Raw genomic sequence first — 16,905 nt, forward strand, 5'->3', positions numbered from 1 at the left:
GCTACGATAACACCACTGCACTACAGCCTGGATGACAGAGCAACACTTTGTGTCAAAAAAAAGAGAGAGAGAGAGAAAAAAAAAAAAACCACATCCACTTACTTAAAAAAAAAAAAAAAAAAAAACCCCAAGAATAAAAGGATGAATAAACAAGATGCCAATGATACTGATTATCCAAATGGGGTATAGAATAAAGGGAGGGAATAAAACACCAGGAGGCTGAAGATTAAAGGGAGAGCTAATTTGGGTAAACTGCAAAGAATAAATTCACTATACAACCTTAGTCTAAGGGAAAAATAACTATTAGCAAATCCCGAACTCCTTTTAGTAGGTTTCTTTTTCACAGAGGTATGGATGAAGCAATTCTGAAACCATTCTGTGTGTACTGTAGACAACTGGGCGAATAAGTAAACGTATTGATGTTGTTGGAAGTGAGGTAAACAGATACAGAAAAGAGGGAAAACCAAGGATAACCCTATAGAGTTGGGACTGGAATTAAGAGTTATCAGTATGAACCACAGTAAATTATGAAACTTGAATATAGACTGTAAATTACCTAACAGTATTCAGGGTTAAATTTTCTCAATGGTTTCAGACACACACATACATAATGCAAGGGAAAGAGGGAGGGAGGGAAGACGGAAGAGGAAACAATAAAAGCAAATGTGGCAAAATGTTAAAAACTGGTGAATTCAAGTAAAAAGTATAAGTGAATTCAGGAGGTCTCCATATAATTCATGCAATTTATCTGTAATTTTAAAGTTATTTCAAAATAGTTAAAATAGCCAGGCATAGTGGTAGGTGTCTGTAATCCCAGCTACTCGGGAGGCTGAGGAACAAGAATCACTTGAGCCCAGGAGGCGGAGGTTGCAGTAAGCAGCGCCACTGCACCCCAGCCTGGGCAACAGAGTGAAAAATAAAAATAATAAATAAATAAATAATAATCAATAAAATAAAATGTCCTAACAAAAAATAAAGAGAGAGAAGAGACACATATGTATTGAAATTTCTGAAAGCAAATACTCAAACGTAAAGTTGTCAATCAATACGGAGGCAAAGGAGAGGAGGAAAAGGAGCCTCTCTAAAAGATCTTTAAATAAGACTGAATTCCATCCAATAGCTTTCGTTAAATATATACCCCTAAATCAGGGGTTCCTAACCTGGGACAGAGGTTAGGTGGATTAAATTCTATCCATCAAGAGGTCTGTGGATAGAATTCACTGAGTCTCTGAAGGGAATGGGAAAAAATTACATTTTAATTTCAGAAACTGATTTTTTCCCCTCAATTACGGATGCAGGCAACAAACAATAGTTTTAGCAATACCTATGACTTTATCACGAAGAGAAATCACACATATTTTCACTTCACATTAGCTGAAGTTCTCAAAACAGTGTATATCCCATTCAGCATTTTCATAATACATTTCATAATTATACTTGCAGCTAAATTGTATTTAAAGTGATATATGATTTAAAAAAACATGCATCACAAATTTACTTTTTAAATATTTTGATAACTGTATTTCAAAATCAGTTTTCTTTGTAATCATATGCACTTAAATTTATTCACTTAAAATTGTTATTCTGGGCCAGGTGAGGTAGCTCACACCTGTAATCCCAGCACTTTGGGAGGAAGACACAGGCGGATCACTTGAGGTCAGGAGTTCGAGACCAGCCTGGCCAACATGGTGAGCCCATGTCTCTACCAAAAACACAAAAATTAGCCAGGCGTGGTGGTGTAAGCCTGCAGTCCCAGCTACTTCGGAGTCTGAGGCATGAGAATCACTTGAACCCAGGAGGCAGAGGTCGCAGTGAACCAAGACCACACCACTGCACTCCAGCCTGGTCAAGAGAGTGAGACTGTCTCAAAAAAATAAATAAATAAATAAATAAATAAATAAAATAAAAAAAAAATTATTCTGAAAAGCAGACCATGGGCTTCAGACTGAACAATGGTTCCAAGGCATAAAAAAGTTAAGAATCTCTGCTTGCTCAGAGGTACAGATCCCTCACTTGTTTACAACTATGTCATAATGAGGGGAATTAAAAGTTTAGTTTTTTTGCTTTGCCATAAAGCAAATTATAAAAAGATACACATCATTGATAATTTTCGACCTAACCTTATTATTTAATTTCTAAGTAATTTCCCCTAAGCACCAGCATAAAAATTATTCAAAATAACAACTGTAATCTCACACAGAGCATCCAATAACAAATGTTAACACTTACACATGTAAAACATACAGGCACACAGCAACTATAACAATGAAGCGAGACTGTGAAACATTTTATCAAGAAACTCAAGTGTTCATACACTTTAAAAACTTGGTTAAAAATGAGGTACTATTTACCATCTCTCTTTTGGAAAATTTTTTAAAATTTCTTTAATGATTGGCTGGTAACAGGCATCCCTTTCTGCTTTCCCAGTTTCACTCCAGTCTCTCACAAACTGTTTCAGCGTGGATTTTAACTTATCCATGTCAAATGTAGATGCTGGCATAATCTTTCCATTCCCCTGTTTAAAAAACAGACATCAATTAGCTTCTGAGAGAGTAATCCACTTATATTATGGTTAAATAGACATGCTACTAAGGGGCTATATAGGTGGTTTAGTGGATAAATCACTAGCCTCTCACCTCAACTGGGGTTCAAGTGCAGCTTGAGATCCTAAATGAAAAGAGTTTGGTGGTCTCACTGCTACCCTCAAAAGATTAAGGTCCATTAATCATAAAACCACCATATAATTAAGCAGTCTTTACTCAGGAGAGGACCAAACTGAGCTGCTATGGAGACCGAACATCCTCTCTAAGAGAGGGAAGAAAGTCCCTCCAGGTCATTGATGGGGCAGCATGGAGAGGCTCACACTGGAGTGGCCCAACTGTATCCATCCTGTGGATACAAAAAGAGGACTTCAGTTTCTATGTACTGCCAGTCCCTTGAGATTTATAAGTGAAAACAATTTCTTACAATAAAAGATGAACAGCAATAGATACAAGACACTGAAAAAATATGAGTTAAGCAAGGGAAATTAATTTCTAGCTAGTAAAGTTGCTTTTAAAAATTTAAGTCACTAACCCTGTATTCCAAAACAGAACATTATGTCAAAATGCATCAAAATCTCAACAGTTATATTAGTACTTAAAAAAGGAAAACAAGTGAACAGATCCAGTCTCTGGCTATTAAGCCTAATCAAATGACTGAACATTTAAGTTAAAACTTTCTGAGTAGAGCAAATAGCCTGTGCCAGATTATAAAAATGAAATCCAGAAAATAAAAGACCTCAAAATACAGAGGTTGACCCTAAAATAAACAGAAATAGAACAAACTTTCACATACATCTTCTCCATATTCTTTATTTTCAAACATATGTATGCAATCATTCACAATGGTCAGTAGTATTTCTTGATTATGATCAATGCATTTCCGGATCTTGTCCAAGTGAAGAAGAAACTGAGGAAGTAGTTTCTGTTGGTTAGCTGGAAGTGATCGAAACTGTCTTTCTGTTCGGTTCACCCGCTCATGCATACTGGTGCTAAAACATAAAAGGTGTTTTTTAAATTCACAAAAGAATTCTCACCAGAGGCCAATCTTACTTTAAGGTTGTCTTTCTGTACAATTATTTCCTTATTATGCTGGATACTGTCCTATCATTTACAATCTCTTGGCTTTAAAAAGGCATTAACTTATAAAGTTGTAAATGTTTTTACTTTATTACAAGTCCTTCTCTAAGCAACCAAAATACAAATGGTTTATCACTAGTAAAAGTAAACATATGCACCAATTAGAAGAGGAAAAAGAAGATTAATGTACAATTAATTTATTTTTGTGTTTTAAACTTAAAATTTTCAGCAAAACCAGCTTTAGATTTTTCCATCTTTAAGTAGCAAAATAAATACTGCTATGAAATTATAATACACACAAAATATGTCCTGAAATTAACTAAAAGCTAACCAGGTTGATTTTTTTTAAATATCATAGAAGATCTTATATACTACAAATTACTAAGCAAATAAAAAATTAAAATTCTATAGTGTTTTACTTAACAATACCCACAATTTGCATTCCAAAAACGAACCCAAAGGTCACTTTGGGGACTACTTATTCATAAAACCAGAAAATAGAACATAATTTTTACTTATATTTACTTATTATTATTATTTTTGAGAGGGATTTTCGCTCTTGTCGCCCAGGCTGGAATGCAGTGGCACAGTCTCGGCTCACTGCAACCTCTGTCTCCCAGGTTCAAGCCATCCTCCCACCTCAGCCTCCCAAGTAACTGGGACTACAGTCATGTGCCACCACACTTGGCTAATATTTTTGTATTTTTTTGTAGAGATGGGTTTCATCATGTTGCCCAGGCTGGTCTCAAACTCCGGGGCTCAAGCAATCTGCCTGCCCTGGTCGCCCAAAGTACTGGGATTACAGACATGAGCCACCATGCCTGGCCATAAGAACATCATTTTTTAAAGTTAAATATATACTCACAGTATATCATTTTTATATTGACAAGATGGCCAAAATTTAAAATCCTGACTATATCAAATTTTGGTGATTGGTGAAAATATGGTGTAATTAGGACATTTACACACTAATGGTAAGTGCATACATCAGCGCAACCACTTTGGAAAATTAAATTTAGAGCATTACCTAGTACAACTTAGCATGGTACTTGCCTTATGACCTAGCAATTATATCCTAGAAACTCTTGCAAATGGGCCCCATGAAACATGAACAATCTTTGTCATAGCACTGTTAGAGATAAGAAACAGGTGGGCGCAGTGGCTCATCCCTGTAATCCCTTGGCACTTTGGGAGGCCAATGTGGGCGGATCACTTGAGGTCAGAAGTTCAAGACCAGCCTGGCCAACACGGTGAAACCCCATCTCTACTAAAATATAAAAATTGGCTGGGCATGGTGGCGCCCACCAGTAATCCCAGCTACTTGGAAGGCTGAGGCAGGAGAATCGCTTGAACGCGGGAGGCAGAGGCTGCAGTGAGCCGAGATTGCACCACTGCGTTCCAGCCTGGGCGACAGAGTGAGACTCCATCTCATAAAAAAAAAAAAAAAAAAAAGGAATAAAATATCTGGAAACAACCCAAAGGTCTACTATCAGAAATTATCATATAGTTACTATAGAATGAAGAAATTACAGTATAGTTATACAGTGGAATGCAGCGAAATGAGTAAATTACAGCTCATACAATAATATGTGAAGACTAAACGCTGATCTTTTTTATATTTTCTCTCTTCTCCAAGTTCTTCACTAAGAGGCCTGGGGAGTCATGCCTTACTAATTACGAAATCTCACTGGACAGGTTTTTATTAACCCTATATAATACGACTTACTTTCCAACCTGACTCTGGTATGGCATCTTATGACAAATAGCAGACTCAGAAGGAAATCAGAATATTTTACCCCAAAATATATTTGACATTTTGAAATGGCTGCCACATGGCCAACGGATTTCAATGGCCCCACAAAGCCATGTTTCCTAGGGGAAATATGCATCTGTCAAGAATCTCCATTAATGCAACCAGGCCTTCCTTTCTAGGCCTTTCCTGGATCCAGGAGAGATTAACTGAGAGCCTGATAACATTAAAGTCTAAAAAGTGACATTTAGTATCTCTTCCCTCTGAGGGCTGCTACCTAGGAGGCTTCAATTAACTTAACAAGAACCTTGGCCTTCACAAGCCCCTTAACTCAAGCATTCCTTTCTACTTACCATAGCTTACCTCTATCAACCAACTACCAGCTGAAGAATCCTTAAAACCCACCTATGACTTGTAACCCCCTCTTTAAGATGTCCTACCTTTTGAGTGAGATCAATGTATACCTTGCATGTAATTCCTGTATCTAAAATGTATAAAACCAAGCTGTAACCTGACCACCTGGGGTGCACTTTGTCAGGGTTGTTTGAGATCGTGTAACCACAGGCTGCAGTCACTATCATATTGGCCCAGAACAAACCTCTAAATATATTTTGGCAGAAATTGGTTACTCCCATCACCATCTGGATAACCTCAAGAACATATACATTTGTTGAAAACAATTGCAGTAAAATACATAATGTACAATTGCATTTCATAGAAAACTAAATATTATTTAGGGACTGAGCATATGTGGAAAAACTACACAGAAAGCAAAGAAGTAAAAATTCAGGTTAATGATTCTGAGGGTGAAAGAGACAGGATAATGTGTTTTAAAAACTAGGTGATTTATAAGTGTTCACTGTAATATTCCTTACATTTTATATCTATATATGTATGTGTATATGTTTAAATGTTCTTTGGTATTAATTCAATATTAAATGAAAATGGAAGTATTTTTCATTTTCTATTTCATTTTTCTTCTTTTTTTTTTTTTTTTTTGAGATGGAGTCTTGCTCTGTTGCCCAGGCTGGAATGCAGTAGCACGATCTCAGCTCACTGCAACCTCCCCCTCCCAGGTTCAAGCGACTCTCCTGCCTCAGCCTCCCGAGTAGCTGGGACTACAGGTGCGCGCCACCATGCCCAGCTGATTTTTGTATTTTTAGTAGAGACGGGGTTTCACCATACTGTCCAGGATGGTCTCGATCTCTTGACCTCGTGATCTGCCTGCCTCCGCCTTCCAAAGTGCTGGGATTATAGGCGTGAGCCACCGCACCCAGCCTTCATTTTCATTTTCAATTTCACTTTCATTTTCAATATCTTTGTCATTTGGTTTCTTAAATCTTCATTCATCCAAACAATTTTCTTATTTTTACCCTCTGCCAAATTATTCCAACTGCCAAACAGTAATGAACTTCAGAAGAAGCTCCTGACAAACAACCAAAAACCTGGCTGGTCGCGTTTTTACAAGCTTGTGTTTGGTGGCTTGGTGTGGGGGGCCCTTAGGGATAAGGTGAAGAGATCAAGTTGTCAGAAGCTCCACTGACATGCCCCTCTGGGGAGAGTATAATAATGAGCTTTGAAGTCAGAAAGATCAGGGATGAAATCCAGGTTATGACACCTATTTGCCACATGACACCAGGCAAATTACCGCCTTCCTTTGTCCAACTCTCTCATATACAGAAGCAAGATAAGAATGAACAATGATGATGATCATGGAAGCTGCCATTTGAGATTTAATAAATACCAGGGACTAAACCAAGTCAGTTAATACGGATTATTCTGAAAGATCTTCATAATTAGGTAGGTAGCATTACCTTCCTCTGCCTAGCAGACAGGGTTTCATTGGAAAAATAACGTACTCAAAAGATTTAGCCCAACAGCTGAAAACACAGCAAGCGCTCAAAATATATATACTATATATATACCTACTGTTCAATATACTATATAGAGTATATATACATAGTATATACATAGTATATATGTATATATACATAGTATATACATAGTATATATACTACTATATACATACCATATATATTATATATAGTATATATACTACTATACATACCATATATATTATATACATAGTATATATCTACTATATACAGTATATATACTATATACATACTATATATAGTATAAATAGTATATATAATATAAATAGTATATATAGGATAAATATATATACTATATATATATATCTACTGTTCAAAAAAGGAGTAGGTATATCTCATTTATATTACTAAAATGTTCAAAGCATGAACAATGTAGAAATTAGAAGTACTCAGGAAAGAAGGCCTAATAATTCCTCTTCTAGAGGGAACCACTTCTAACCTTTTGGCACATTTCCGTTTTGCTTAACACAAAGTTGCAGTGGCTCATGCCAGTAATCCCAGTATTTTGGGAGGCCAAGGTGGGAAGCCTGTTTGAGGCCAGGTGTTCAAAACCGGCCTGGGCAATATAGCAAGACCATCCTCTCTACAAAAAAATAAAAAAACAAAATGAGCCAGGCGTGGTGGTGCATGCCTGTAGTCTCACCTACTTGGGAGGCTGAGGTAGGAGAATTGCTTTAGCCCAGAAAGTCAAGGGGGCAGCGAGCTATGATTGTGTCACTGCACTACAGGCTGCGTAACAGAGCAAAAACCCTGTCTCCAAAAAAGAGAAGAAAAAAAAAAGTCATCTAGCATCTTACTTTTTTTAAGCTGAATACTGACAAATTATAATTGTCTATATTTGTGGGGTACAAAGTGGATGTTCATCATTCCATCTTAGGTAACCATCAGTGACTTAGCTATTTCCCAACTACTGGGCATTTAGACACTCACTTGTTTTTGTGATGAACATTTTGTGTTCAAAATCTGTCTATAATTTAGGAAAAAAATTAGCATAAACTCTCAAAACCAGAATTACCAGGTGAGAAGGAATACTTTTTTTTTTTTTTTTTTTTTTTTTTTGGAGATGGAGTCTCACTCTGTCACCTAGGCTGGAGTACAGTGGCATGATCTCAGCTCACTGCCAGCTCTGCCTCCCAGCTTCAAGCGCTTCTTCTGGTTCAGTCTCCCAAGTAGCTGGGACTACAGGTGCACACCACCATGCCCGGCTAATTTTTATATTTTTAGTAGAGATGGGGTTTCACCATGTTGGTCAGGCTGATCTTGAACTCCTGACCTGAAGTGATCTGCCAACCTTGGTCTCCAAAAATATTGGGATTATAGGCGTGAGCCCCTACACCTGGCCAGGAGTTAGTATTTTTAAGGCTCTTGATATAAAATGATGTGCAAAAAGACTCCATAAATTTACATTCCTAACAGCAGAGTATGACATTAAAGGAACTAAAATGGCCACATCAAGTTAGGCAAACAGCAGAGCTTCAACAGTTGAACAGCCTCACAGAGCTTTCTTCCTAGTGTTTACTCCCGGGCTCTGGATGCCCCACAACTTCCCTCTCACCATACTCAAAACTCATATCCAAAGTGAACTTAGCACATGCCCCACAAAAACCTGCCCTCCTTCCTTCATGGCTAAGATTAACAAATGCACCCAAGTTAGAAATTAAAGGAGTCATCAGCCGGGCATGGTGGCTCACGCCTGTAATCCCAGCACTTTGAGAGGCTGAGGTGGGCAGATCACTTCAGGTCAGGAGTTCGAGATCAAGAACATCCTGGCTAACACAGTGAAACCCTGTCTCTACTAAAAATACAAAAAATTAGCCAGGCATGGTGGCATGCGCCTGTAATCCCAGCTACTTGGGAGGCTGAGGCAGGAGAATCGCTTGAACCTGGGAGGCAGAGGTTGCAGTGAGTTGAGATTGTGCCACTGCACTCCAGCCTGGGTGACAGAGCAAGACTCAAAAAAAAAAAAAAAAAAGAAAAAGAAATTAAGGAGTCATCCTAAATGCCTCTTCTCCTAGTCCCACAATCAATAAACCCAGGATACTTTTCAATTCTACTTCCTAACTCCTCCCCTGCCCTTCCTGCCCCACCTCTAATCAGAAGAATTATTCTAAAACACAAGTGTCATCTTGGTCATTATTCAATATCTCCGTATTTCAGCATATGTAAAAAGCAATAAATGTTCAGTTATATTCCCACGGGTGCCACTTTTGGTTTTCCATGGAGACTACTTATCACCAAGTAATATCAAGGTTGCAAGGGTGAGTTGAGATAAGTTATAGATTGGTTACAAGAGCTGTCAATTTTTGATACAGAAGTAACTACACAGAGCAGGATGAGATCCTTAAACCCCTGGTTACTTAATGGTGTGCAAAGCTGCCATAACATACATCCACCAGTGACTCTTAAAATAGGTGGGATCTTACTAAAGTTGAGAATATAGTCCAATCCTTATTATACCCTTATAACTGGGGCTAACTTCACTATCCTGCACATGCTTACGCTATCAGAATTGCTTTAAGGCAGGGGCCCATTGGCTACCTGGTTTTTGTACAGTCTTATTGGTACAAAGCCACACTATTTGATTACACAAAGCCTAAGGCTCCTTCCATTCAAGGGCAGAGTTGATGAGTTGTAACAAGAGACCACTTGGCCTTCAGAGCTTAAAATATTTACTGCCTGGCCCTTTTAAGAAACTCTGCCAAACCTGCTTTGAAGGAGTATTTTACAAAAATCAGACTCTCCTTGGTTCTGAACTAAGTCAGCATCAGGAGGTGACATCCTCTTGCTGATAAGAGGAGAAAGTAAACTTAGTAGCCATTTTTCCCCAATGGTGGTATCTCTACCTCTAACTCTCTCTAGAAACCTGGTGTCAGCAGTGACCTCAACTCTGATTTAGTCACCTGTCATCAGGGTGAGCCCACACCAGGTCTGATCTAAAGGCCATGGTCACAGGCCCATTCCTCTGCACCTAGTTGAACTACTCTAGGAAATCCAAATAGAAAAAACATAACTTGTCAGAAACAAAGCCTGGCCTGTCTTGATTCATTTTAAATCTTTATTAAATACCTAACATTAAATTTGTGTTACTAGTATAACTCCTCATTAATGCACAGTAAAATTTTAGGTAACGATTTTGGATTTTAGGTCAGATTCTACCACAACTGGATTGTGTAACCCTGAGCAAGTTGCTTACCGCTTTGTGTCTATCCACATCCTCACCTGTAAAAATCAGTTCTAAATCTCAATATTAAAAAATCTCACCCCGTTATTTCTAAAAGTAAGAAGTTTCTGAAAAGACTTTCAGCTTTTCAACTCTAGTGTTTTCTATGTGCTGAGGTGCTTCATTCGTAACAAGACTGGGTTATAAAACTAACATTTTTGCTATTCAATACAAATGAGCTATATCCATTTTTACCTTAATGAGAATGTCATCTAAGCAAAATCTGTGGGAATCACAAAATTGAAACCCATTAGAAAGAGAAAATATTAATCAAAAGACATTCCTTGCTTTATGACCTTTTATCTAAATCTCCTACGTATTAACTAAAAGACATTTTGCAGTAAAATTGAACCCTGCAAAATCTGGACGTACAGCTGACCCTTGAACAATACTTGGGTTGGGGCACCAACCCCCTGTGCAGTCGAAAACCCACACCTAACTTTGATTCACCAAAAACTTAACTACTAATAGCCTACTACTGACCGAAAGCCGTACCAATAACATAAACAACTGACAGATATGTTGTATGTTAATATATTACGTACTATATTCTTACAATAAAGCTAAGAAAATATTAAGAAAGTCGTAGGAAAGGGAAAATACATTTACACTACTGCACTGCATTTATCAATACTATAAGTTTACATAATTTGATTACAAGATGAATCCTCTGTCTGAAATGGGGTTGGGGGGCAACCTCCAACTGCAGACCTCTATCTACAGTACATATCAAACAAATCAACTTTTTCTTGTAATGTCTTTTTTCTCTGCTTCTTGGGAGCACCTGCAGCATCACCAGTGGCACGTCATATGGGACCCATGGTGTTATTTAAGGTTTATGGTATTGCATTAAATTTGATGAAATCTGTTTACTGCTATATGCAATTTACTTGACAGACAAAAGCAGAGTGATTATTTTAAGAAGATACTGGTAACATCTGAGCTTACTGCAAAAGCAACAGGAAGTGGCTACAAAATTATTACAGTAGTACAGTATCTACTACAGATAATTTTATGCAACTAAGATTTAATGCTACATCTTTGCTTGTTTACATTTATCTCAATTGCAAATAGCTCCATGTAAGATCTGTGTTTGTGTAAGTTTTGATAAATTTTAACTTTTTATAATAGATTTGTGTATATTTTATGGTAGTAAATGATAAACTAGTATCTACACATATGCATTCATGGCATAATTTTTTCTTAATTTTTTCACTATTTCTAGGCTATGCAAGTTTGCTAAGTTTTTCAAATTGTTGCAAATGTCAAAACAATTTTCCAATATGTTTATTTCAAAAAATTTGTGTATAAGTGGACCCGTGCAGTTCAGATCCATATTGTTTAAGGGTCAACTGTACTTGCTAAATGTGTAGAACCGGATTGTCCATCACAACCTACTTCGATAATGGAAAAGCTTTTATTTGCACTGTCCAGTACAGCAGACTCTAGCCACATGTAGCTATTGAGCACCTGAAATATGGGTAGTGAAACTGAGCAACTAAATTTTAAAGCTTATTAAATACTAATTAATTTTAGCTTAAATTTATCCAGATATGATTAGTGGCTACAGTTTAAGTCTAGAAGATCACAAAATATTAGAATGTAACAATCCACTGTTCTCTGCTACATAAACTTTCTGTACCCCTAGGCTTTAAGTGACATTTTAAAAAGCATATTTTTGATGTTATACTATTTTCAGCCCAAGTATTTGAAGTGTTTCAAGAGAGTATATACAAATAAAAACTGTTTTTTTTAAAAAATGAAATGTCCTGAATCCAACATTACGCTGGTAAAGAAGAGAGTATAGGAAATAGTATCACAACCACTAGAATATTCACACAAGATCTCTTCTCTATATTGCCACACTTCAGTTCCTGATCAACCCCTACCCCAACAAAGTCCCATCCCATACTTACCCATAAATATCAATTTTAAATTGGTCCTAATATATTAAAAGTAAGTACAACTACGCACTTAACTAAATGGGTCCACCATATTCCCAAGACATTTCCCAATATTCTTTCTAGATTTTTCAAGAGCAAAATGTACCAGACTTTTCTGTATCTCCCACTCTTAGCTATCTGATGTTAGCTGCCTTTCCTAACTTTATGGTTCTTTCCGTCACAATTCCTGCATCAAATTCAATTCTCTGATGGTCTGACGCCTTGCTCCCTCTGTTACTACTAAACCTGGAGAAATAAAATATCCAAACTTCTCTTTTGGGCTCCGTAAAGTAATGCTGTCCCTGGTCCCTATTTCTGGGTTTAATCAGTAAATTATTTCATCAAGATCTTCGAAGTTCAAAAGTTCCTATCACATATACAATCAGATTCCAAATAACTTTAAGCTTTCACTAAGCAAGCTTCTAAATTCAGACTAGTAAACTAATTTAACTATCAGTCAAAAACTTGACAGACTATTTGGGAATGAGAAATGTATTTCTTTGCTACTATTTGTTTTGTTAAAAATAGAGCTTAAACAACATATGCCAAGCACTAGTGACATAAAAATAAAAAAGACTCAGCCCCTGCCCTTGAGGAGGTCACAGCAAAGCAAGAGATTTATAAAAACAACTATAATACATAAGATGAACAATATAAAAAAACTTTGCATAAAGCACAGCAGGAACCCACCTATGGGAACAGGTTTACCTGCGTAGGAGGTCATGTCTGTCTGATTCCAACTGCAGCCTCAGAACATAGTCACCGGTGGACTCATATCTCTTACGTGAATAAAAGTGTTATCTTCACCTGAAAATCCAGTTGATTTAAGTCCCTTTCAGCTCTTGGAATTATAATTTTGTGATTAAGCTACTTTAACATCTATCTAGAAGAAACGTGGAAGTTAGGGAGCTGTTTTTATGAATGAGGAGCATAAAGGTCCTACCACAGTGCCTAGCACACCAGGGAGAATTAGATACAGATTTGCAGAAAAAAAGAACGTAAAGGCAGCTCTTATTGTGACTTCTCTCATCTCTCCTAATAATTAGCAAATTTTAGAATATCCGGACCACTTCCGCCCTTAATCACCCACCAGTTAAAGACACTGAGCAGCATCATTCAATCGCTCACACAAAAGTGCAAGTGCGTTCACAGCGCCAAAGAGGGGTGGGTGGAAATCTTAAACTGCTCTTACAAGCACTGGTAACAGTTTGGGAAAATACGTCCTACAGCATCCCACGCGTAGGTGAACTTGGGCTCTCCGTGTGTTCAGTTTGGAGGACATCGACCACACACACCAATCAGCCCAGCAGTGGACGATTGTACCACCATCGTCTTCTATCTGAAATTGTTACAGCGCTTCTCTGGTCACCCCCATCGGCCTCAAAGCCAAACCTTTACGAGGACGGAGGCAGGAGAGCTAATCTGATCCTGAGGTCAGAAGACACGAGGCTGTGCAGCAGACGGCGCGGCGGACACGCGGGTGTGCAGGGCCGGGAGGGGCTGGGGTGGTGCGAGGTGACTCGGGGCCCGGAGGTCAGCTGCAGCAGCCGGGTCCCGACGCCTCGGAGGCGTGGCGGCGGGACGGCGAGCGCCCCCGTTCCGGCGGGTCCGCCGCCACCAGTGGGCGCCCCGACGGTCTGGGCCGGGGTCCGCCACGGGCTCCTTACCCGTAGTAGCGGAAGGCATTAATGATCTTCCAGAAGTGCTCACGCTCAAGCCTCTCCTCCTCCTCCTCGGTGCTGCGCGTGGCCGCCGCCGCTGCCGCCGAAACCGCCGCGGCCGAGCCCCAACGCCCGGCGGAAAACTGCACTTCCACCTCCTCGCTGCCACCGCCTCCTCCCCCGCAGCCCTCGGGCAGCCGGGAGGTGGGCGGCGGAGGGCGACGCCGTCGCTGCATCGCCGCCGCGGCCCTCGGCCTGGCTCGCTTGCGTCTCTCCGCGACCGACAGCGTGGTGGCGGCTGCTTGGCCTTCCTCTAGACGGCGCCCGCCGCGGACATGCCCCCAGCTCGCGGCGCGCTCCGCCCCCGCCACCCTCAGGCCTCCATCCGCGCTGGGCTCCGCCAGGTCTTCAGGGCTCCCAGAACCAATGCGCATGCGTGTGCCTTGGTACGCGGAGGGCCCGTGCGGTCTGCGCTCATTTGCTGCCGGGCTTCGGAGACAGCGCGCTGACGTCACAACCACGCTTCCAAGGGCGGGGCCAAGGCCCCTTGGTGGGAGGCGGAGGAGGAGCTCGTAGGTGGGGTGGGACTGGCACTGCCGTTACCTGTGCGCGGCCGCGTGGGTGGGACTTAAAAGCCGGCGAGTGCCGGATTGTTGAGCTGGAGGCTGAACGCGGTCCCAGGCACTAGCAAAGAAGGGAAAGGCAAAAAGGAAAAGTTCGGCTTTGATGATTTTATTCGGAATTTTTATTTCAGAAAGTCTAGAAGGAACGTCTTGTATCCACCCTAATTTAAGTTTTAATTCACTTCCTAAATGAATTCCTATTTTTAATTACTTAAGGGGGTCGGAAGTGGGCGCCATCATCTTTTCACTTTTTTTTTTTTCCCCACTCTGTCGCCCAGGCTGGAGTGCAGTGGTGCGATCTCGGCTCATTGCAACCTCTGCTTCCTGGGTTCAAGCGATTCTCCTGCTTCTGCCTCCCGAGTGGCTGGGATTACAGGCGCGCGCCACCACGCCCGGCTAATTTTAGTATTTTTAGTAGAGATGGGGTTTCACCATGTTGGCCAGGCTGGTCTGGAATTCCTGGCCTCAGGCGATCCACCCTCCTCGGCCTCCCAAATTGCTGGGATTACAGGCGTGAGCCATCGCGCCCGTCCCATCTTTCCAGTCTTTAGGGGCTTGCGGCAGTCCTAATTCCTCCTTTACTGAGGATGGCAACAGATGAGGAAAATGCAAGGACCTTCTATCCAGCACCTGGTCTTGGGAAGACCATTACACCTACCAGCATCTAAGGGTGGCTCTTGGGAAATAACTTATTCTGGGGCCGGGCGCGGTGAATCACGCTTGTAATCCCAGCACTTTGGAAGGCCTAGGTGGGCGGATGACGAGGTCAGGAGATCAAGACCATCCTGGCTTACATGGTGAAACCCCGTCTCTACTAAAAACACAAAAAATTAGCCGGGCTTGGTGGCTGGCGCCTGTAGTCGCAGCTGCTCTGGAGACTGAGGCAGGAGAATGGCGTGAACCCGGGAGGCGGAGCTTGCAGTGAGCCGAGATCGTGCCATCCAGCCTGGGCGACAGAGCGAGACAGCGTCTCAAAAAAAAAAAAAAAAGAAAAGAAAAAGAAATAACTTATTCTGTTCAATTTAATCCACCACCCAGCAAATGAGTCTTACAAAGTAATGATAAAAGGGAAAGATTGCTTTATTCGAGGGGTTAAATATGCCCAGTGACCACAAAGTCTGTTAAAAAGTTACAACCATATTGAAAGTGAAGTGGCTTCATATTTTCATAATTTAAATTAATAGTTGAAATAAAGGTAATGCTTAAAATGACAACATTTTTATATAAAAGTTTTCTAAAACGTGAGTCTATTAATAGTAATGCAGTAATACATGTTTCAAAATTCAAAAAGAAAGTGCAAAGGATTACAAATATGAATTGGAGACAGTCTCGCTCTGCTGCCCAGGCTGGAGTGCAGTGGCACGATCTCAGCTCACTGCAACCTCCCGGCCTTCCAGGCTCAAGCGATTCTCCTGCCTCAGCATCCCGAGTAGCTGGGATTACAGGCATGCGCCACCACACCTGGCTAATTTTTTGTATTTGAAAATACTAAAGTAGAGACGGGATTTCACCATGTTGCGCAGGTTAGTCTCCCTGAACTCAGGCAATCCACCTGCCTGGGCCTCCCAAAGTGCTGGGATTACAGGCGTGAGCCGCCACGCTCGGCCAAGTGTGAATAATTGTTTTACCTGTCCCTAGCCAGCTATGTTCCTCTCCAGACACAATATACCAATTCCTTGCCCATTCTTCCAGATTTTCTATCTAATGTCTATTTTTCCAAACACTAATTGTTCGGAAGTTATGTATAAACACTCATAGTAGTAGCTGTTTCTAATACTGTTCTCATGTACACATGCACAGAAGTTTTACATGTTGTAATTCATTAAATGTATTGATATAGGTCTGAATGACCTAATTGATAAAGGCCAGAATGTCATGGATAAAGATAATCAGCTCCATACTTTGAAATATCCTCGGAGGTAGAATAAACATTTTCAAATTAAAGTTATGTGCAGAGGCTTCCTTGACTCTGTCTCCTAACTTGGTGAGTCTTAGAGTCTGTGTCATGAAGGTGCTCAGCTTTAAACTCAGTTGTGATCTTACAGGTGAGGAAACCAGGGAATCAGAGATATTAAGTGATCTTCATACACCCACCCTCCTCTCATACCTATATTTATCAATATTTGTTTATGACTGTGACTGTACTTTTTAAATATTATGCTAGCTAACATTTGTTTAATTAATATTTTTCAA

At 40.1% G+C, this 16,905-nt stretch overlaps 1 protein-coding gene across 5 annotated transcripts in view, besides 3 other annotated features; it reads right to left on the reverse strand.

Moving 5' to 3' along the window:
• Positions 1-14,514, reverse strand: part of CARNMT1 (carnosine N-methyltransferase 1) — a 47,641-nt gene extending 33,127 nt beyond the window's left edge. For 3 of the 5 annotated variants that reach the window (NR_135282.1, XM_047422766.1, XM_011518223.3), the window contains exons 1-3: positions 14,096-14,514; positions 3,337-3,532; positions 2,352-2,515 (exon numbers count right to left, since the gene is read on the reverse strand). Coding sequence is in view for 4 of the 5 variants with exons in the window: in XM_047422766.1 (XP_047278722.1) it covers positions 2,352-2,515; positions 3,337-3,532; positions 14,096-14,325 (590 nt within the window). In the remaining variant the exon portion in view is untranslated. Of the gene's footprint in view, positions 1-2,351; positions 2,516-3,336; positions 3,533-13,136; positions 13,236-14,095 lie in introns of those variants that run through there. The other 2 variants (NM_152420.3, NM_001320497.2) reach the window with 2 other exon arrangements.
• Positions 10,166-10,215: an enhancer, noted in NCBI's record as "active region_28469". NCBI's record gives its function as "activates an Ori minimal core promoter by ATAC-STARR-seq in GM12878 lymphoblastoid cells {active_cell/tissue: GM12878}" and the evidence as "EXISTENCE:reporter gene assay evidence [ECO:0000049][PMID:35858748]".
• Positions 13,209-13,258: an enhancer, noted in NCBI's record as "active region_28470". NCBI's record gives its function as "activates an Ori minimal core promoter by ATAC-STARR-seq in GM12878 lymphoblastoid cells {active_cell/tissue: GM12878}" and the evidence as "EXISTENCE:reporter gene assay evidence [ECO:0000049][PMID:35858748]".
• Positions 13,909-14,598: a silencer, noted in NCBI's record as "silent region_19953". NCBI's record gives its function as "represses an Ori minimal core promoter by ATAC-STARR-seq in GM12878 lymphoblastoid cells {active_cell/tissue: GM12878}" and the evidence as "EXISTENCE:reporter gene assay evidence [ECO:0000049][PMID:35858748]".

The sequence above is a fragment of the Homo sapiens genome, chromosome 9 (genome assembly GCF_000001405.40).
Source record: "Homo sapiens chromosome 9, GRCh38.p14 Primary Assembly".
NCBI classification, from domain to species: domain Eukaryota; kingdom Metazoa; phylum Chordata; class Mammalia; order Primates; family Hominidae; genus Homo; species Homo sapiens.